Source organism: Homo sapiens, chromosome 3 (genome assembly GCF_000001405.40).
Source record: "Homo sapiens chromosome 3, GRCh38.p14 Primary Assembly".
NCBI lineage: Eukaryota > Metazoa > Chordata > Mammalia > Primates > Hominidae > Homo > Homo sapiens.
In genome coordinates, this window is record NC_000003.12 from 121,387,754 (window position 1) to 121,411,353 (window position 23,600).

Sequence of the window (23,600 nt, forward strand, 5' to 3'; positions counted from 1 at the left end):
TTGGTCTATATCTCTGTTTTGGTACCAGTACCATGCTGTTTTCGTTACTGTAGCCTTAATATAGTTTGAAGTCAGGTAGCTTGATGCCTCCAGCTTTGTTCTTTTTGCTTAGGATTGTCTTGGCGATGCAGGCTCTTTTTTGGTTCCATATGAACTTTAAAGTAGTTTTTTCCAATTCTGTGAAGAAAGTCATTGGTAGCTTGATGGGGATGGCATTGAATCTATAAATTACCTTGGGCAGTATGGCCATTTTCACAATATTGATTCTTCCTATCCATGAGCATGGAATATTCTTCTATTTGTTTGTGTCCTCTTTTATTTCCTTGAGCAGTGATTTGTAGTTCTCCTTGAAGAGGTCCTTCACATCCCTTGTAAGTTGGATTCCTAGGTATTCTCTTTGTAGCAATTGTGAATGGGAGTTCACTCATGATTTGGCTCTCTGTTTGTCTGTTATTGCTGTATAGGAATGTCTGTGATTTTTGCACGTTGATTTTGTGTCCTGAGACTTTGCTGAAGTTGCTTATCAGCTTAAGGAGATTTTGGGCTGAGACGATGGGGTTTTCTAAATATACAATCATGTCATTTGAAAACAGAGACAATTTAACTTCCTTTTTTCCTAATTGAATACCCCCTATTTCTTTCTCTTGCCGGATTGCCCTGGCCAGAACTTCCAACACTATATTGAATAGGAGTGGTGAGAGAGGGCATCCTTGTCTTGTGCCAGAAAGGGAATGCTTCCAGTTTTTGCCCAGTCAGCATGATATTGGCTGTGGGTTTGTCATAAATAGGTCGTATTATTTTGAGATATGTTCCATCAATACCTAGTTTATTGAGAGTTATTAGCCTGAAGAGCTGTTGAATTTTGTTGAAGGCCTTTTCTGCATCTATTGAGATAACCATGTGTTTTTTGTCATTGGTTCTGTTTATGTGATGGGTACGTTTATTGATTTCTGTATGTTGAACCAGCCTTGCATCCCAGGGAAGAAGCCAACTTGATCGTGGTGGATAAGCTTTTCGATGTGCTGCTGGATTCGTTTGTCAGTATTTTATTGAGGATTTTCACATCGATGTTCATCACAGATATTGCTCTAAAATTCTCTTTTTTGTTGTGTCTCTGCCAGGCTTTGGTATAAGGATGATGTGGGCCTCATAAAATGAATTTGGGAGGATTCCCTCTTTTTCTATTGATTGGAATACTTTGAGAAGGAATGGCACCAGCTTCTCTTTGTGCCTCTGGTAGAATACAGCTATGAATCCATCTGATCCTGGACTTTTTTTGGTTGGTAGGCTATTAATTATTGCCTCAATCTCAGAGCCTGTTATTGGTCTATTCAGAGATTCAACTTCTTCTTGGTTTAGTCTTGGGAGGGTGTATGTGTCCAGGAATTTATCCATTTCTTCTAGATTTTCTAGTTTATTTGCGTAGAGGTGTTTATAGTATTCTCTGCTGGTAGTTTGTATTTCTGTGGGATGAGTGGTGATATCCCTTTTATCATTTTTATTGCGTCTACTTGATTCTTCTCTCTTCTTTATTACTCTTGCTAGTTGTCTATCAATTTTGTTGATCTTTTCAAAAAACCAGCTTCTGGATTCATTGATTTTTTGAAAGGTTTTTTGTGTCTCTGTCTCTTTCAGTTCTGCTCTGATCTTAGTTATTTCTTGCCTTCTGTTAGCTTTTGAATTTGTTTGCTCTTGCATCTCTAGTTCTTTTAATTGTGATGTTAGGGTGTCGATTTTAGATCTTTCCTGCTTTCTCTTGTGGGCATTTAGTGCTATACATTTCCCTCTACACACTGCTTTAAACATGTCCCAGAGATCCTGGTACATTGTGTCTTTGTTCTCATTGGTTTCAAAGAACGTCTTTATTTCTGCCTTCATTTTGTTATTTACCCAGTAGTCATTCAGGAGCAAGTTGTTCAGTTTCCATGTAGTTGTGTGGTTTTGAGTGAGTTTCTTAATCCTGAGTTCAAATTTGAATTGCACTGTGGTCTGAGAGACAGTTTGTTGTGATTTCTGTTCTTTTACATTTACTGAGGAGTGCTTTACTTCCAATTATGTGGTCAATTTTGGAACAAGTTTGATGTGGTGCTGAGAAGAATGTATATTCTGTTGATTTGGGATGGAATGTTCTGTAGATGTCTATTACGTCTGCTTGTTGCAGAGCTGAGTTCAAGTCCTGGATATCCTTGTTAACCTTCTGTCTCGTGGATCTGTCTAATGTTGACAGTGGGGTGTTAAAGTCTCCCATTATTATTGTGTGGGAGTCTAAGTCTCTTTGTATGTCTCTAAGGACTTGCTTTATGAATCTGGGTGCTCCCATATTGGGTTCATATATATTTAGGAAAGTTAGCTCTTCTTGTTGAGTTGATCCCTTTACCATTATGTAATGGCCTTCTTTGTCTCTTTTGACCTTTGTTAGTATAAAGTCTGTTTTATCAGAGACTAGGATTGCAATCCCTGCTCTTTTTTTGCTTTCTATTTGCTTGGTAGATCTTCCTCCATCCCTTTACTTTGAGCCTATGTGCGTCTTTGCATGTGAGATGGGTCTCCTGAATACAGTACACTGATGGGTCTTGACTCTTCATCCAATTTGCCAGTCTGTGTCTTTTAATTGGGGCATTTAGCTCATTTACATTTAAGGTTAATATTGTTATGTGTGAATTTGATCCTGTCATTATGATGTTAGCTGGTTATTTTGCCCATTCATTGATTCAGTTTCTTCATAGCATCAATGGTCTTTACAATTTGGCATGTTTTTGCAATGGCTGGTACCGGTTGTTTCTTTCCATGTTTAGTGATTCCTTCAGAAGCTCTTGTATGGCAAGCCTGGTGGTGACAAAATCTCTCAGTATTTGCTTATCTGTAAAGGATTTTATTTCTCCTTCACTAATGAAGCTTAGTTTGGATATGAAATTCTGGGTTGAAAATTTTTTTCTTTAAGAATGTTGAATATTGGCCCCCACTCTCTTCTGGCTTGTAGAGTTTCTGCCAAGAGATCTGCTGTTAGTCTGATGGGCTTCCATTTGTGGGTAACTCAACCTTTCTCTCTGGCTGCCCTTAACATTTTTTCCTTCATTTCAACCTTGGTGAATCTGACAATTATGTGTCTCGGGGTTGCTCTTCTCGAGGAGTATCTTTTTGGTCTTCTCGTATTTCCTGAATTTGAATGTTGGCCTGCCTTGCTAAGTTGGGGAAGTTCTCCTGGATAATACCCTGAAGAGTGTTTTCCAACTTGGTTCCATTCTCCCCATCACTTTCAGGTACACCAATCAGACGTAAATTTGGTATTTTCACATAGTCCCATATTTCTTGGAGGCTTTATTCATTTCTTTTTACTTTTCTTTCTCTACCTTGTTTTCTCACTTTATTTCATTAATTTGATCTTGCATCACTGATAGATACCCTTTCTTCCCCTTGATTGAATCTACTATTGAAGCTTGTGCATGTGTCATGAAGTTCTTGTGCCATGGTTTTAGCTCCATCAGGTCATTTAAGGTCTTCTCTACACTGTTTATTCTAGTTAGCCATTTGTCTAATCTTTTTTCAAGCTTTTTACCTTCCTTGCAATGGGTTTGAGCATCCTCCTTTAGCTTGGAGAAGTTTCTTATTACTGACCTTCTGAAGCCTACTTCTGTCAACTTGTCAAAGTCATTCTCTGTCCAGCTTTGCTCTGTTGCTGGCAAGGAGCTGTGATCCTTTGGAAGAGAAGAGGGGCTCTGATTTTAGAATTTTCAGCTTTTCTGCTCTGGTTTCTCCCCATCTTTGTGGTTTTATCTACCTTTGGTTTTTGATGTTGGTGACCTAGAGATGGAGTTTTGGTGTAGATGACCTTTTTGTTGATGTTGATGCTATTCCTGTCTGTTAGTTTTCCTTCTAACAATCAGGTCCCTCAGCTGCAGGTCTGTTGGAGTTTGCTGGAGGCCCACTCCAGACCCTGTTTGCCTTGGTATCACCAGCAGAAGCTGCAGAACAGCAAATATTGCAGAACAGCAAATATTGCTGCCTGATCCTTCCTCTGGAAGCTTCGTCCCAGAGGGGCAGCCACCTATATGAGGTGCCTGGCTGCCCCTACTGGGAGGTGTCTTCCAGTTAGTCTACATGGGGTTCAGGGACCCACTTGAGGAGGCAGTCTGTCTGTTCTCAGAGCTCAAACACCATGCTGGGAGAACCACTGCTCTCTTCAGAGCTATCAGACAGGGACGTTTAAGTCTGCAGAAGTTGTCTGCTGCCTTTTTTTCAGCTATGCCCTGCCCACAGAGGTGGAGTCTAGAGATAGTAGGCCTTGTTGAGCTGTGGTGGGCTCCATCCAGTTTGTTTCCTGGCCACTTTGTTTACCTACTCAAGCCTCAACAATGGCAGACACCCCTCCCCAGCCAGGCTGCCACCTTGCAGATCAATCTCAGACTGCTGTGCTAGCAGTAAGCAAGGCTCCATGGGCATGGGACCTGCCAAGCCAGGCATGGGAGAGAATCACATTGTTTGCCAGTTGCTATGACCTTGGGAAAAGTGCAGTATTTGGGCAGGAGTGCCCTGTTTTTCCAGGTAGTCAGTCATAGCTTCCCTTGGCTAGGAAAGGGAAATCCCCCCACCCCTTGCGCTTCCCAGGTAAGGTGACAATGCCCCACCCTGCTTCAGCTCACTCTCCGTGGGCTGCACCCACTATCCAACCAGTCCCAATGAGATGAACCAGTTACCTCAGTTGGAATGCAGAAATCACCCATCTTCTGCATCGATTACACTGGGAGCTGCAGACCAGAGCTGTTCCTATTCGGCCATCTTGGAACACGCCCGCAGTCTTTACATTCTTTTATATAGCAATTGAAAGGAATCCTTGGCATTTAGACCTTCCATTCCCCAGCTCCACCATTCTTTTCCAGCCTTATAGTCTTTGACCTTTCACTACATATCCTGGGCCCTAGACAAACCAAACTCCTTGTCATTCACTTAATAAGCCCAGTGTGTAGTCAAGTATAAAGCAATGATTTCATTTTATTATGACTGAGTAGTATTTCATGGCATATATATATATATATATATATATATATATATATATATCACATTTTTAATCCAATTGCCCATTGATAGACACTTAGGTTTATCCCATGACTTTGCTATTGTAAGTAGTGCTGCAATAAACATACACGTGCTTGTGTCTTTTTGATATGATTATTTCTTTTCTTTTGTATAAATAGCAGGTAGTGGGATCACTTGATCAAAAGATAGTTTTATTTTTAGTTATTTGAGACATCTCCATATTGCTTTCCATAGAAGTTGTACTAAACTAATTCCCACCAATACTGTATAAGCGTTCCCTTTTCTCTGCATCTTTGCCAAAGTCTATTTTTTTATTTTTTATTAATAGCCATTCTGACTGGTATAAGATGGTATCTTATTATGGTTTTAATTTTCATTTCTCTCATGACTAATGATGTTGAACATTTTTTTTTTTCGTTTCTTGGCCATTTGTATGTGTTGTTTTGAAAAGTGCCTGTTCATGTATTTTGCTCACTTTTTAATGGGGTTATTTGTGTTTTCCTTTTTGAATTGCTTGAGTTCCTTGCAGATTCTGGGTATTAGCCCTTTGTCAGATGCATTGTTGGCAAATATTTTTCCCATTCCTCAAGTTGTTTATTCACTCTGTTGTTTATTTCTTTTTCTGTGCATAAGCTTTTCAGTTTAATTAAGTCCTATTTGTCTATTTTTAGTTTTGCCGCATTTGCTTTTGAGGTCTTAGTCACGAATTCTTCACCTAAGCCAATGTCCACACAAGAGTTTTTGCTAGGTTTCCTTCTAGCATTTTTATAGTTTCAGGTCTTACATTTAAATCTGTAATTCACCTTGAGTTACTTTTTGTATATGTTGAGAGATATGGGTCCAGTTTTATTCTCCTGCATATGGTTATACAATTTTTGCAGAACCATTTATTAAGTAAGATGTTCTTTTCTCAGTGGATGCTTTTGTTGACTTTCTCAAAGATCAGTTAGTTGTAGGTATATAGTTTTATTTCTGGGTCTTCTATTCTCTTCCATTTATCTATCTATGTTTATACGAGTACTCTGCTGTTTTGGTTATTATAGCCTTGTAGTATAATTTGAAGTCAGGCAATGTGATACCTGCAGCTTCATTCTTTTTGCTTAGGATTTCTTTGGCTATTCAGACTGTTTTGGTTCCATATGAATTTTAGAATTATTTTTTCTACTTCTGTGAAGAATGCTGTTGGCAAATTGATAGGAATTGTGTTGAATCTGTAGATTGTTTTGGGCAGTATGGTCATTTTAATGATATTGATTCTTCCAATCTATGAGTATGGGATGTTTTTTCATTTGTTTGTGTCATCTCAATTTCTTTCACTAGTGTTTTTTAAATTTTCCGTGTAGCAATCTTTCACCTCCTTGATTAATGTATTCCTAGGTATTTTTAATAGCTGTTATAAATGGGATTGATTTCTTCTTTTGGTTCTCAGCTTGATCATTATTAGTGTATAAAAGTGGTACTGATTTTTATACATTGATTTTTATATACTGAAACTTTGCTGAGGTCATTTATCAAATCTAGGAGTCTTTTGAAGGAGTCTTTAGGGTTTTCTAGTTATAAGGTCATATAATCAGTGAACAGCAATAATTTGACTTCCTTTCTTCCAATTTGAATGCCTTTTTTTTTTTCTCTTGCCTGATTGCTCTGGTTAGGACTTGCATAGGAGTGGTGAAAGTATACATCCTTATCTTGTTCCAGTTTTTAGAGGGAATGCTTTCAACATTTCCCTGTTCAGTATGATGTTGGCTATGAGTTTGTCATATATGACTTTTATTATTTTGAAGCATATTCTTTGTATGTCTAGTTTGTTGAGGGTTTTTTTTTTTTTTTTTTTTGAGACAGTGTCTCACTCTGTCGCCCAGGCTGGAGTGCAGTGGCACGATCTCAGCTCACTGCAAGCTCCACCTCCTGGGTTCAGGCCATTCTCCTGCCTCAGCCTCCTGAGTAGCTGGGACTACAGGCGCCCGCCACCACGCCTGGCTAATTTTTTGCATTTTTTAGTAGAGACAGGGTTTCACATGTTAGCCAGGATGGTCTTGATCTCCTGACCTCATGATCCACCCGTCTCAGCCTCCCAAAGTGCTGGGATTACAGGCTGTTGAGGGTTTTAAAGGATTTTTAGATTTTTAAAATTCACTGAAGAAAAATGAAATTCCCTTCAGGTATTATTATCAAAAATAAAACTTCATTTACCCTTTTGTCATTTTTTAGTGGCATGAATTCAGACTTTTGCCAGAATAGGGCCCCTTCTTATATAGACAGATGAAAAAAAATCTATTATCATTCTTTGTGAAAATTCAATGAACTAGATATATAGTTCTTTTCTTAATAGAGCAGAAATAGTAAGTAACCCTTTAGATGTGTGACTGGCAAACATTGAAAGACTGTCAATTATACACATCCTTACTTGGGCATGTAGTTTTGAGGTATTTGCAATTTTACATCTTTTTTCAGGCTAAACCAAACGGAAAACAAAACAAAACTCTTCTATTTCACATAAGAAAAGTCTGAAACAGAAGAAATAATCTTGGACTGTGGAAATATAAATTCAAAATGATGAAAATTTTTTCAAACAAATAAGAAATTAAAAATTATGACTTTTAATTAAGGCTGAGTTTTCCAAAAGCATAGTCTTACAGATGAGTATGATACATATGTTAAATTGTTTCTGCTAAACCTTTAGTCATTAATAAAATATTCTTGCATTTTTTTCTGGTCAGGTTCCATTTTGTTTACAAATAGGTTTTTGAGGGTGGTATGCCTCAATTATAGGAGCAGATTTATTATGATAAATACTGAGATCAGAAAGCATGTGCAACTGCATCATAGAGTGATTACATCTAGGCATTATTGCCAGCCAAGTTTGATAAATATGCCCAATAAGTATAATTGTTCTCTGTGTCAGCCCTTGTTGAAGGAATACTCACAGCAATGGTGATACCGCTATCATAGCTACCATTAAATTACTCATTGTGAGTGGTTGTCCCGCTTTCCTCAGGTTTTCTTCCACCAGCTGTGACAGCTTCTTGATCTGTCCCCAGGTGGGTGGCTGTGTTCGACAGGTGTTGCTTGTGACAGTTGGGGTCCTCCTCAGCGTCAGTCTCGACATGGCTGCAACCGAGGGGTCCTCGGGATCCTCCCAGAATCTCTTCCTCGGCATCTGGCTTATGAAAAAGTTTCAGGTGTCTTGATGGTATCCAAATTGGCTGTTGATTTTGGCCTGGAGAAACACAAGCATAACGTCTACTCCAAGTTATTATTTTACCTATTTCCCAACTTTTTGTTATCAGATCTCCCCACCAAATCAGTTGTTCTGCTTCTCTTTGCAGCTGGTTTCTGTAGATGCTGTTCAGCTGCTGATAACATCTGGCCTTTGGGCAGGCTCAAAAAATTTAGTTAATAATGCCAGATTCAGTTGTATCTGCAGTGTTCCATATTCTCTATTTCCCCCTTTCTGCTTTTGCAACTGCTCTTTTAAGGAAAGATTCATTCTTTCCACTATGGCTTGTCCTTGAGAATTGTATGGGATACCAGCAATGTGTTTAATATTCCACATGGAGAAAAATGTAGCTAGAGCTTGGCTAGTATAGCCTGGGGCATTATCTGTTTTAGTAGAGGCTGGAATGCCCATCACCACAAAACACTGCAAAAGGTGATGTTTAACACAGGCAGAGACTCTTCTGATTGGCATGTAGCCCAAAGTGAAAAAAGGTGTCCACACATACATGTGCATATGCTAGTCTCCCAAATGAGAGAATATGTGTGACATCCGTTTGCCAAAGAGAGTTAGGTTCCAATCCTCGAGGATTAACTCCTCCTGTAAAAGATGAAGAATGTACCATTTGGTAAGTTGGGCATCACTGGATAATATTTTTAGCTTCTTTCCAGGTAATGCTGTATCTGCATTTGAGACCAGAGGCATTAACATGGGTTAAATTGTGAAAGTGTCTAGCATTAGATATTGCATTAGCAACTAGGTGATCAGCCATTTGATTCCCTTCAGTCAAAGGTCCTGGAAGAGGTATATGAGCCCTAATGTGAGTGATGTAAAAAGGGTGCATTCTACTTCTAACTGCTGTTTGCAATTGGGTAAATAAAGTCATCGGTTGTTCATCTGTATGAAATTGTAACTGAGCATTTTCAATTAACTGTGTGGAATGAACCACATATGAAGAATCAGAAATCACATTAATAGGCATAGCAAAAGCAGTCAATACCTCAATTACAGCTACAAGCTCCGCTTTTTGAGCTGAAGTATAGGGTGTCTGGAAAACTTTACTTTTCGATCCAGAATAAGAAGCTTTACCATTACTAGACCCATCTGTGAAACAATGAAAATACTTAGCAGGCTGCAGGTTGTTTACTGCAGGAATTGTAAATGCAAACCGTTCACATTCTTGCTCAGCTAAGGGGATAGTAAAGAAACGGTCTTTTAAATCTATGACTATTAAAGGCCAATTTTTAGGAATTATAGCAGGAGAAGGCAATCCTGGCTGTAATGCTCCCATAGGTTGTATAACTGAACTGATGACTGTTAAATCAGTTAACATTCTCCATTTACCTGATTTTTTCTTAATTACGAAAACTGCAGAATTCCAAGGCGAAAATGTTGGAGCTATGTGCCCATTTTCTAATTGTTCAGTAACTAATTCCTCTAACGCCTCCAGTTTCTCTTTACTTAGCGGCCATTGTTCTATCCAAATTGGCTTATCTGTTAATCATTTTAAAGGTATAGGTTCTGGACGCTTAACAATGGCCGCCATCAAGAATGATATCCTAATATTTGGTGGGAACATCGTCTTTCCACTTGAAGCGGTACTTTCAAAGCTTGCAAATTTTTTTCTAGTCCCATACCAGGGACATACCCCATTTCATGCATTATATGTTGACTTTAAGGGCTATATAATTGTTCTGGAATTAGAACTTGTGCTCCCCATTGCTGTAATAAATCTCTTCCCCATAAATTTATAGGTACAGAAATTATAATTGGTTGAATAGTCCCAGGTTGTCCATCGGGCCCTTCACAATGCAAAATATAACTACTTTGATATACATCAGGGGCTTTACCAACTCCAACTATGTTAAATTGAGCAGGTTGAATTGGCCACGCAGACAGCCAGTGCTGTAGAGAAATGATTGAAATGTCCACTCCTGTATCTACCAAACCTTTAAATTTCTTTCCCTGAATAGTTATTTCACAGGTAGGACGTTTATCAGTAATTTGATTTACCCAATAAGCAGCTTTGCCTTGTTTATTTGTGCTTCCAAATCCTCCTGTTCGTTTAATTTTACTTTTTCCGATTCCCACATACGGCACAATCAGGAGCTGTGCCATGTGCTCTCCTGGCTCTGCCTTCCAGGGAACAGAAGTAGATATAACAATTTGAATTTCCCCATTGTAATCTGAGTCAGTGACTCCTGTATGTATTTGTACCCGTTTTAAACTTAAACTAGACCTTTCTAAAAGTAATCCTATTGTCCCCGCTGGCAAGGATCCACAGACTCCTGTTGGGACCTTTTGTGGGGGTTCCCCAGGCAGAAGGCTCACAGCTTTTGTGCAGCATAAATCTACTGCGGCACTACCGGCTGTGGTGGGGGACAGATATTGTACAGGGGTGAGGGAATGGCCTGAGCTGGAAATGCCCCAGTTTAGAACAGCGCCCAGGATGGGCCCCTCATGGCTTTTCCCAAAATCGGGTTCCCATCTTTATCAAACCTAGAGTGACACTGCTTAGCCCAATGTTTTCCTTTTTTACATTTTAGACATATTTCAGGCTCAGCAGTTTTCTTTTTTCCCTTATCTGGCGGCCTGACTTGCTGATTTTTTCTACATTCTTTTTTAGTATGACCATGCTTCCCACAGTTAAAACAAGCCCCAGGAAATGAGTATTTCCTTTATCCACTCTCAGTCCTGCCATTGCCTGTGCCAACAAAGTAGCTTTATGCAGATTACCTCCAATACCATCACAGGCCTTGATATAATCAACTAAATGTGCTTTCCTGAATTTAAAAGGAAAAGGCTCAAATGTAGCTATAATATTTCCCTGCTGATCTGGGGGCTGTATTCTAACAGGGAACTGCCAAGCCTCTAAATCACCCTCTCTTCTAGCTTGCTGAATTCCTACCTGAATAGAACTAAGAGTGGTCGCTCGAGGCACTGCTCGAACAGACACTGGGGCAACTACTTTTCACCCAGTGTCCTCCGGAAAAGAAAGATCTGGAGGGTCAGGCCACTCTTTTTCTTCAAAATAATAATGAGGGGGTGCAGAAGGGTAGGGATGAACCTCTCCCTCCTTTTCCACTTTAGTTTTAGCTGGCAAATAAGCCTGGTCTGTAACCTCTTCTGTACTTCATTATACTCTCCTTCCTCCTCCTCATCAGTGTGAAAAAGTTCCAAGGTGGAATGAACCAGACCCCACACTTGTCCCATTGTTACCCTGATGCTTCTGAGCTCCCCTTCTTACTCACCATGGGGATTGCTTTAAGAGTACTCGGGTGTCCTCCAGCTAGTTCCATGTTCTCCAACCATTGCTCCAGTGACCCTTCAACCTGGATTCAAGCCCCCATGATGGATGCCACTTGCTGAGACCAGCTCGGTTGGGGAGACCCTAACTCAGTGGCACTAGAGGAATTAAAGACACACACACAGAAATATAGAGGTGTGAAGAAGGAAATCAGGGATCTCATAGCCTTCAGAGCTGAGAGCCCTGAACAGAGATTTACCCACGTATTTATCAACAGCAAGCCAGTCATTAGCATTGTTTCTATATTAAATTAACTAAAAGTATCCCTTATGGGAAATGAAGGGATGGGCTGAATTAAAGGAATAAGTTGGGCTAGTTAACAGCAGCAGGAGCATGTCCTTAAGGCACAGATTGCTCATGCTATTGTTTGTGGCTTAAGAATACCTTTAAGCAGTTTTCGGCCCTGGGAGGGCCAGGTGTTCCTTGCCCTCATTCTGGTAAACCCACAACCTTCCAGCGTGGGCGTTACGGCCATCATGAACATGTCACAGTGCTGCAGAGATTTTGTTTATGGCTAGTTTTGGGGCCAGTTTATGGCCAGATTTTGGGGGGCCTGTTTCCAACACCTATCACTTTTGTCTGCATCAAAATCACTTGAAGCATTCATTACAACACAGATTACTGGGCCCTGCCCCCAAAGTTTCTGATTCAGTAGGTCTGAGGGAGGGTCTGAGAATTTGCATTTTTAGCAAGTTCCCAGATGTGCTGAGTCTACAAAAATGAAACCTTACTTGTCCCTTTTGTCTACTGATGCACAGGGTTCTGCTCCCAGAAGGCCCTCTGCTCTTAAAGTCTTAAAATTCTTAATAATTTTATCTTTTGATGTATGCTTTGTAAGTAAAGACCAATGAGACAATGGAGCATGCACCAGGGGCTTGAAGCCTCTGCTCATGAGCAGTCTGCCTCCCACCTACCTCTCACCCAGGCGATGACTTAGTTTGTTGGGAGAGAGGCATTCCACTTTCACTTTCCACTGCTTTTGGGGCCTGGAGTATACATAGAGGTGGTCGGGGTCAGGCACATGCCTGGTGACATTTTGGGGCATGGAAGCAGCCATCCTTATCCTGAGTTGGTAGTACTTGGTGACTCTAGCATGTGATCGGCCAACCAGAGGCCATGTCTCAGATTGAGAGTCTTAACCAGTCCTGTTCCAGGTAGCTAGCACTTCCTAGCAAACAGTTTTAAAGACTTTCTGGGAGTCACCCCTCTTCTATGGTTTGAGGTGGCAGGATGGGGTCTTATTGCTGTAAAGAGGAGAAACTTAGCAGCCATCAGACTCAAATGTACTTAAGTAACTGAAGTCATGTGGTGAGACCCTCAGATGCCTGTGAAAGTCTGCAGTCATCTTGCAAGCATTCTCAAGCTGCAAGAGATATCCCCATACCTAAGAATGTGCTCCCTCAGGTCTGGTCTGGACTTGAATGACCCTGTCTTCCACCTTCCAACCTTCCTGAGACTGACTGGTTTGTCTCTTCTGGCCAACTCCCTGTGAATAATCATTTCATAGCTCTGGAGACTAGCTATTGTGTTTTTGCTACAGTTCAAAATAGAGGTTAAATGTTCTTATATAGAATATTATGAATAATAAAAAAAGTTAACTTTCCTTTACATAGAACATAAATAGCAAATATAAAAACACTAAAGAGATAGACCACAGAAGAAAGAAAAAAGCTTTATAATTTGCAACCTTCAATGGTACCTCTTCTCCCAATTTTTTTTTTATATGTTTTGCTCATTTATATGAAATCCAAGAGCAGGCAGTATTAACATATGACAGAATAAATGAGAGCAATGGTTGCCCCCTGAGAGGCTGCCTGGCTGCATGTGTTCAGTATGCGGGTTCACAGGCAGTATATGCATTGCTCTGTTCATTTTTCAAATAACAAATCAGTTTTTAGCTGTGTGTCTCCCTTCAAATCTCCACTGTTTCTTCTGAATTCTGTAGGGCACCACGATTGCTTTCCTAACCTCTAGGAGCATCCCCTACCTACTATTGCAACTAGCACTTGTGGAAGTCAGTGTGGCGATTCCTCAGGGATCTAGTACTAGAAATACCATTTGACCCAGCCATCCCATTACTGGGTATATACCCAAAGGACTATAAATCATGCTGCTATAAAGACACATGCACACGTATGTTTATTGCGGCACTATTCACAATAGCAAAGACTTGGAACCAACCCAAATGTCCAACAATGATAGTCTGGATTAAGAAAATGTGGCACATATACACCATGGAATACTATACAGCCATAAAAAATGATGAGTTCATGTCCTTTGTAGGGACATGGATGAAATTGGAAACCATCATTCTCAGTAAACTATCGCAAGAACAAAAAACCAAACACCGCATATTCTCACTCATAGGTGGGAATTGAACAATGAGATCACATGGACACAGGAAGGGGAATATCACACTCTGGGGACTGTGGTGGGGTCGGGGGAGGGGGGAGGGATAGCATTGGGAGATATACCTAATGCTAGATGACACGTTAGTGGGTGCAGCGCACCAGCATGGCACATGTATACATATGTAACTAACCTGCACAATGTGCACATGTACCCTAAAACTTAGAGTATAATAAAAAAAAAAAAAAAAGGAATTAGATTTACAGTGACAAAGAGAATGGTGGAGGACAATGAGCACATAAGAGATTTCAAATAAAACCTTGAAGACAAAAAGTGGTCAGAAAAGTGCTAGTTCTCCCAATTTTTGAACAAAAAGTCCCCCATAATTTGTAGGCCTAGTGCATTTTCATTTTGTGCTAGGCCCACAAATTGTGTAGCTGATCTTGAGTATATAAGATAAAATAGAAGTTTAAAAATCCATAATTAAGACTGAACTGGAGTAGTCAGGAAGTTAATAAATGTTTATTGAGCACATGACATGTCCAGATATTATAATAAGCACTGAAGATAAAGTAATGACGAAGTCATACGAAGTTTCTGTCCTCAAAGAGCTTACATTCTAGATAGGAATTGAGAAGTTCCGTGGAAGTTGAGAGACAATTAAAGTTTAAACAATGTATGTAAGGGAAAAGGAAAGCAAATATCTCAGGCTCCTTAAGACTCCAACTTTAATATAATTCTTCAGCCTCACTGGAACCTTAATCTATTGATCCTACCATTTTCATTGTCATTCACCCCCTTCATGTTCCCCCTTTCTAACTTTAATTTCACAGTCAAGCTCTATAATGCTTTTCTTTCATGCATTGTCAACTCTCTTGCCTCCTTTTTGCTTTGTTTGCTTTGTCATACTTATTCAGCTTAATCTCAAACCTGATTAAATTCAACTCTACCTATCCTATTTCTAGACCCATGTAGCTGAATATGGCTAGAGAAAAATACATAACCACACTAAAGTGTCTCATTTTACCATAAATCATCACTAACTTCAAGTGGGCTCTTATGCTGCTAGGTAATCATACTATATTTTCCTAGTCCTTGCCCCTGCACTCCTGGACAACAATTGCATATTTTCTTGTTTATCCTTTTGGTTGTGTGTGTATGTGTGTGTGTTTTGTTTTGTTTTGGTATAGATGAGGTCTCACTCTGTCACCCAGGCTGTAGTGCAATGGTGCAATCATAGCTCACTGTCGCCCTGAACTACTAGACTCAAACGATCCTCCCATCTCAGCCACCTGAGTAGCTGGGACTACAGGCATGCCATCATGCCTGGCTAACAATTACGTATTTTCTCTAGTCTCTTTAAATCTCCAAAACTTGCTTTTCTGTCTTCAATCTCAGCAATCACCATGTGTCCTCTTTTATTGAGAAAATTGAAACAATCAGATAAAAACTTCAACAGCTATCATCACATCTACCAACCTATCTGCTTGTATCTTCATGGCCTGCATATTCTCTCCTGTTACAGTTACTAAACTAAGCTTCTAACTAGGTGATTCATTTAACAGAATCATTCTATCTCCTGGCCTATCCTAAAGGGAATCAAGGTTGGAAGCAGGGAGAGCAGTGAAGAGGTTAATACAATAGTCTGGATGAAAAATGGATAGAGGCTTGTGTGAACTGTGTGGTAGTTATTCACTATATTCCACTTATACTCTAGACTCTGTTTGTACACTAGACTCCACTTATATACTAGACTTTACCTGCTTTCACCTACTTAAGAAAGTCAATCCAGCAATTTTTCCTTTGTTTCCTTTATAATAAATGTTTTTCTTTCTACTGAATCATTATATAAATATATTGTTATATCTTCCATTAAAAAAGAGAAACAATGGGTTCTAGGCTGTATTAGTCATGGGCAATATAGTAGTGAATAAAACAGACAAAAGTCTTTGCCTTCATAAAACTTACTTTCTATGGTAGAGATAGATAATATGTGTGATAAATAAGTAATTATATGGGATATTAGACACTAATAAGTACTAAGGAAAAAATTAGAGCAGAAAAGGAGATAGGAATTCTTGGTCATTTCTCAGGAAACATCTTATTTGACATATCAGCAACGTATTACACAGGCTACCATTCCTACCTTAAAACACTTCAAATTCTAGAGTGCTATTTTCACCTGATTTTCTTCCTACCTTCTAGCTATTCCTTCTCAATCTCTTTAGCTTGTTCCTCCTCCATTTCAGTGGACTTAAACCAGAATGCCCCAAGACTGATTCTTTGAAACTTTTCTCTTTATATTGAAGCACTAGATGAATTCAGCCAGCTTCATGCCTTTAAATGTCTGATGGATCATACATTTATATTTATAGTCTGGACCTCTCCACAAATTCCTAACATATATCCAGCTATTTGATATCCATTTGGATGTTTAGTAAGTATCCCAAACTTAACATGTTCAAACCTGAGCTCCTGGTATTCCTCTCATTCCTCTCACACTTTTCTACATCTATTAATGACAATTCCATTCTTCCAGTTTCTCAGGTCAAAAACACTGGAATCACCCTTGACCCCCATATTTCTTTCATACCCTAAATCCAATTTGTTAACAAATCCTGCTGGCACAACCTTTACAATACACTCAGATTCTGACATTGCTCACCATCTGTACTATTACCACACAGTTCAACCAAGCCTCTATCCATTTTTCACGCACACTAATACACTAACCTCTTCACTGCTCTCCCTGCTTCCAGCCTTGGTTCCCTTTAGGATACACCCAGGAGGTAGGGTGATTCTGTTACATGAAAGTTAGATTACATCACTTCCATTCTCAAAATCCTTCCATCTCACGCCAAGTAAAAGTCTAGGTCTTTACCATGTCCTGAAAGAACCAACATGATGTGGCTCTACTTTATCTCTCTGATCTTACCTCCTATGAATCTTCTTGGCATTCTAGAAAGTCAAGACCTATAAAGAATCTGAGATTTTATTCTACTTGTAAGCTAATAAAGTTAGGTTGCCAGTTTCGATGCTGATAGAAGACATGAAACTCCTGGCTCAGGGACAAAGGATAATTTATTATTCACAACAGTCATAGAATATCAGTATTTTGTGCTGGTTTCCTGAACCCTAATTCCCACAGGATGATGAAAAGAAGCCTTCCCTTCTTTATTAGTTTGCTCAGGCTGCCATAATGAAATACCACAGACTCAGTGGCTTAAACAGCAGAAATTTATTTTCTCACAGTTCTGGAGACTGAAACTCTAAGTTCAAGGTGCCAGCAGGGCAGATGTCTAGTGAGGTCTCTTCCTTTGGGTTGCAGATGGCTGCCTTCTTGCTGTGTGCTCACATGGCCTTTCCTTTGTGTACACATAGGGAGGGGGAGAGAGAGAGAGAGCATGTACTCTGGTATCTCTTTTTAAAAGGACACTAATTCTATCAGATTAGAGCCATACCCTTATGATCTCATTTAATCTTAATTATTTCCTTAAAGGCTCCCTCTTCAAATAGATCCATAGTGGGGGTTGGGGCTTTAACATATGATTTTTTTTACAAGAGGTTGGCAGGGGATGCAAACATTCAGTCTATAACACTATTTAAAATTTATCTACCTTTTTTCAAGAATTCCTATCTTCTTTTCTGCTTTTTTTCCTTAGTACTCATTACTATCTAATATCCCATATGATTACTTATTTATCAGACATATTATCTATCTCTACCCTAGAAAGTAAGTTTTATGAAGGCAGGGACTTTTGTCTGTTTTATTCACCACTATATTGACTATGACTAAAATAGAGCCTAGAGCACATAGAATGTACTTGATACTGTATGTATTGATTGAATGAAGGTTGTAGTCGGCAAGGCTGGTGATTTGGGAAAGCTGGAGTAAAGTACACTCCTAGCCAGTGAGTTCTTCTTTAAGAGGAAAGTCCTAATTAATTAAGATCTTATTATTGAAGCCCATAAGTTTAAGCATACTTTGTAAGTGTATTTCTGAAGTAGTAGCTGCTTATGATTTAGATTTACTTGAGTTTTTTCCAGTTGGAAAAGATTAAAGAAAGAATTCTAAACGATTAATAATACATTGTTTGGAAAACTTAAACCCTGTATAAACCTAATGAACAGAATATAATCAAAGCATTTATGACTAAAAATTAAGAAACAAAGCAGCTGTTTTGGCAAGGGCAGCTTATTGAGAAATTCATTTTGATGCTGAAGATTGTATGCAATGAGTATAAGTAAAATGGCTTTCAAAATGTGGATTTCTTGTCTTTTTAACCTACTGTCAGCCATCTCTAAATCAAGGATGAAAAGATATACTTAGAAAAGTCTTTCTATGGCAGGTAGTTAGGAAAATGTGGTTTTACTGAACAGCAGGATCAATCCTAGGTTAATTTTAATTAAATCATTCTTCAGAGCTGTTGGCATTTTTCCTTCATGGGAGATTGGGAGAGATGTTCTTTTATCCCTTAACCCTTAAACTGCAGCACCTAAACCTCTACTCCCCTAGCCTCTGCCGTTACCCTTATATACATTTATAGATTTCTTAGTTTTGAAGTGGATTTAAAAACACAACTAAGATATTAGATCATCCCAATATACTCTTTTCAATTTGATAAATTTTAAGGACTTTGTAAGTACTTTCTAAATGAATATACTTTTATCTGTCACCCTTCCCTTTTCAAGTCTCTGTCACATGTACACCCTTGAGACATTATCAGTCTAAGCTAACATACTTTCTCTGCATGATGTAAAAGGACAAAGGAAAGAAAGGGCTAATAGGGTACTGCTTAGGGAAGATTCTGGAAATATCCAAAGATCAATAGAGCCCAAACTACCTCCTAAGCTTTATAGTATATTGTCCTCCAAGACTGGTGAAAATCACCTATAGGCAATAATCTGGCATACATTGTCAACCTTGGAGAATCCAGGTGAGTAAAACCCCTTTCTGTGTAAAGATGCAAAAGCCTACCTAAGAGCTGAAGGTAATTGTTTTGTCTTTTTCATACAATTAAAATTGCCACCGTGAATTCCAGATATTGAAATTTCTTCTTGTTTGATTTTGAAGAAAAATCAAGCATTTTCTAGCAAATTAGTCTATGAAATAAGAAAATCAAATAAGATTGTGTGATTATTTTTCAGTTGAAGTTATTTCAATAAATAAAATATGTACATTTTTAAAATTTTCTTTTTTATAAAAGGACTTTAAGGGGGACTATATAGTATAATGAAAGAATCGTGGGGTAGGAATCAGAAAAATCTGAGTTCTAATCTAGGCTGTGACCTAACTTGCTGTGTGACCTGGCCCAACTTTCATAATCTTTCTGGGTCTGTTTTTTCTTCTTTTTTAATATAATGAGAGGGTTTGACCAGTTGACGTCTTAAGTTCCTTTTAGACCTAACATTCTATGATTCCAACTTATTATAACAGATGAGCTCACAAATCTACAAATTCATATACATTAGGGCAATATTATGACTCTATAGGTATAAATTATCACAATGTAAAACTTTAATTCCCTATAGATGCTTTAGAATGAATTTGACATGTCAGTGATGTCCAATTGTTTTTATAGGTACATTCCTCTCATTGAAAGGAGCTGTGCTAACATTCTCCTGTATGGACCGAATGGGTGGATTAATGCAACCGCCATATGAAGTTTGGAGGGATCCAAACAACATAGATGAAAATGAAAAATCTTGGAGAAGGAAAGTGGTAATGAACTCATCTTCTGCATCCCAAGAAATAGGAGATCATCAGTATACAATAATCTGCTCAGAAAAACAAGCCAAAGTCTTCTCACTGCCTTCTCAGACTTGCCTTTATGTTCATAACATCACGGAGACATCTTTTATACTGCAAGCAAATGTGGTGGTCATGTGTAGCAGTGCCTGCTTGGCATGCTTTTGTGCTAACGGACATATCATGATAATGAGGTACTTGCCTTCTTATAAATTATCTGGTAATCACAACAATACCAGCAAGGTACAATCCTAAAAAATATATGTGTTATGTGCAGATGTTATCAAGAAGCAAACTGAGATTATTGTTTCATTATGTTTCTGGATGTTTTATTGTTCAACGATTTGATGAGAGTTTGGGGGTTTTGTGTTTTGTTTTGGTTTTTCTTTTCTGCTAAAAATGCTTGGCATTGTGAGTGAAATATATTTTTAATTGTTTTGAAGGAATCTAAGAAAAGAATGATTTTTCAATCATTCAACAAATATTTATTGAGCATATCTCCCAGATGCTACACTAAGCACTGGAAATAAAAGATGAATAAGCTAAATAGAAAAGAAGTTAACTTTTACTTTTCCTGTGTTTGATACTTCACCCAAGAAATTTACATACAGAGTTTCATTTGATCCTTAGAACTTCTCTAGGACATAGGAAAATAAACTATTATTTGCATCCTCCATTTTACATGTGTTAATAAAGTTACACAGTTTGCCTGAGGTTGCAAGTCTAGGAAAAGTGAGGCCAGTCTGATAATTAAAAGTTATCAGATACTTTTAAAATAAAATATTGGTCAAGAGATTTCATTCTACTGTTAGTGAAATGAAATAAAATTTACGAGACACAAAAATAATTACCTAATGATTTTATGAATTCAGCAAATAGCTCATAAACGTATACTATATAGAAGTCACTGTCATTTTTTTAATATCTCACTTATTTCCAAAAATCATTGAGATGAGCACTGTGCTAGGCCTGTGAAGGATATAAAAATTAGTAGAACATGGTCCTAACCCTTAAGAAACTCACTGTCTAACTTGGGAGATAAGATAGATACACAGACATTATAACAAAAAGAAAATATAAATTCCAACAGAGGAAATATGGGATTGAATTTTCTAGCCACAAACTAAGTTCCCAGAGTTCAAAGTCACAGCATAGTTGAACATGTATTATAAATGAAGAGTTGTTGGGAGGACAGTAACATGGAGAGGTAGTTTGAAGCAAATTGTTGACGACCTTGAATGTCAGGCTGAGTTTGACATTTATCAATTAATAGGAAATGGGGTTTTAAGCAGGTAATTAACCTTCTCTAGCCATGTGTTAGGACATACACAGGGAGGGAGAAGTTGAGATAGGCTTTTGAACTGAAGTGGTGTCTGTATTGAAGGCAACGAGGAAACAGGTGTAAGGGAAACTTATTGAATGCAAAGCTGATTGGTTATGAACAGTAATGGAAGTTGTTAAATCTCGAGGTTAGAAGAGAGTTTAAAGGTTAAAAATTTTTTTGAACTTAGATAACGGTTATGTTATTAGCATATAGGAAAGTCAGAAGGATTTGAAAAAGCCAATAAAGAGAAATTTAATAATAAATTGAGAATAAATATTTGAAATTTTAGGTGTTATAAGCCATCCAGCAGAGGTTTAGCAATAAATTTAAGATTTGCACTCTTAGAAAAATATATGTGGAAGGTCCAGCTTTGGAAGTCATCTATGTAAATGCATCAGTAAAAGTTATGTCAGGAAATGAGATAATAAAAAAGATAGCATAAAAAGAAACAAGAAATTGACTGAGCTGAGGATAGAAACTTGGGGGTATTCTACGTTTATGTAGTGAAAGAAAGAATAAGATGCAGCAAAGGAGATTGAGAAGTTATTAGAAAGATAGGAAAGGACCAGAATTGTATAACTTCATTAAATAAAAAGAGAAGAATATTAAAACAAAAGAGGTTGTCAAGAGGTAGTAAAATATAGCAGAGAGGTCAAAGAATTTGGGTACAAGAAAAAAACAGTAGATCTCACAACTGGTGGGATATTAATGATCTTTGAGAAAGCAAATCTTAGCAGCATGGTGGAAACAAAAGCTAATTTTCAAGGAGACAAGAATAGAGGCAGTGGTATAGATCAGGGTTTAGCAAATTAATATCCAAAACAAAATCGACCTCCATTCCCCTATCTGATTTTGTACAGCCTGCAAGCATTAAGAATGGTTTTTACATATTTAATGGTTGAAAAAACTCAAAGAGAAGAATATTTCATGATATGTGAAAATTATACTAATTTTAAATGTCAATGCCCATAAATAAAGGTTTTGGAACACAGCCACACCCATGTTTCTGTATATTGACTATGGCTGCTTTTGCACTACAGGGCAGAGTTGAATAGTTGCAACAGAGACTATATAGCCTAGAGAGCCTAAAATATTTACTATCATAAATATTTATGGGCCCTTTTCCCCTGGTATTGATTATTCTTTCAGGAAATTTTGTGGTTAAAAGAGAGATGAGACAGGAAAGTCGCTTAAGAGTGAAACTAGGTTTTGAGAGTGTTTTTTTTTTTAGATAGGGAAAATATGAGCAGATTTGTAGGTCAAGGGAAAGTAGTAAAGGAGAAAATTTTGAATAAAAATAATCATTTTATGGTCTGTTCATTCTCTCATGTATTTCTGATTCTTTTCTATCTAGTTCCCCCTTTCTCAAACTGTTTTTAGAAATTTCTGATAAGGTCATTTCAATCTTGTTTGAAAATGATTTAACTCCCATACATGCCTCAGATTTGGGGGGGAAAAAAGGTCTATTTGTGTATGTGTGTAAATGTGTGTATCTCTCACACACATACATTGAGTCATTGATAAATGGTATCTGTCTTCCTCTGTCCTTTATAAAAGCTGCTTGACATGATAATGGTTACTTTGATATTGTGTCATAGTAGAAATTCTTCATGTGTTCCTGAGGATCCTCAAAAATAACTGAAAAGGAAATAATTTTGATATGATTTTAATAATACATATACATAAAGTGTAGCTAGGAAACAATGGTATGTACTCTGCTCTATGGTTTAAAGAAATGAATCCTACAAATTAGCATGCACCTGGCCTCATTCATTTTCCCATACTGAGTATATTCCCAGGATCTTTCCAGACCCTATCAGAAGGTAACTCTCCTGAGCCCAGTCTTCTCAAGTCCTGGGTTTCTGATAGATATCAGGTAGCTAGCCAGTGGTTACTTAGATCCTAAGTACCCAGACTCAGAAAAGCAAGTTTGAGAGTAGAGAGGAGAAATAGAAGAGGCTTATCTTTGTATGAATTCTCAAACTTGGCTGTAAGAGACACTTTTTGTGAGATCCACCTTTAGTTACCCGACACTATTTCTTTATTAAAGTGTCCTGCATAGAAGAAAGTCTTTTTTTCTTCTGTTATAAGAGCAATTGTTTCCTAGCAGTTAGCAACTGACTTGCTCTTTCTCTTTTCCTACCTGAAGTGACTACACCTCTTTAATTTTCTTTTCTTGGCTTACTTGTTATTATACAATATAGACAATGTAGCACATCAGAAAAGTCAGTTGGAACCTCTTCCTCAACTCCACCCTTTAATTTGACTGAATCTGTCATGGAAATCTGTTTAACTGGGATTGGTTTGGACTCATATCTTAAGGAGCTTAGTTACCAGAAGTGCTATAACAGATCATCTTTTAATATCTTTTTAAGATATTAGGTAATTCTTTCATCAATGAAGCTTTTGAATCCAGTGTGTAATTTACGTTTACAGCACATCTCAATTCAGACGAGCCACGTATCAACTGCTCAATAGCTACATGTGGTTACTGGCTACCATATTGGACAGCACAGTGCTTAGTCCAATAGCACAGATTTCAGGTCCCATTTTACATAGTAAATTTCCAGGTCTCAAAGTATAGTTACAAACCACTTTGATAAAGGAAATCAGTATTTTT

The 23,600-nt window shown here is 38.1% G+C and overlaps 1 protein-coding gene across 9 annotated transcripts in view; it reads left to right on the plus strand.

The window, feature by feature from the left end:
• STXBP5L (syntaxin binding protein 5L) overlaps nucleotides 1-23,600 on the plus strand; it is a 516,557-nt gene that overhangs the window by 479,549 nt on the left and 13,408 nt on the right. For all 9 annotated transcript variants that reach the window (NR_145516.2, NM_014980.3, NM_001308330.2 and 6 more), the window contains one exon: nucleotides 19,490-19,850. Coding sequence is in view for 8 of the 9 variants with exons in the window: in NM_014980.3 (NP_055795.1) it covers nucleotides 19,490-19,850 (361 nt within the window). In the remaining variant the exon portion in view is untranslated. The remainder of the gene's footprint in view (nucleotides 1-19,489; nucleotides 19,851-23,600) is intronic.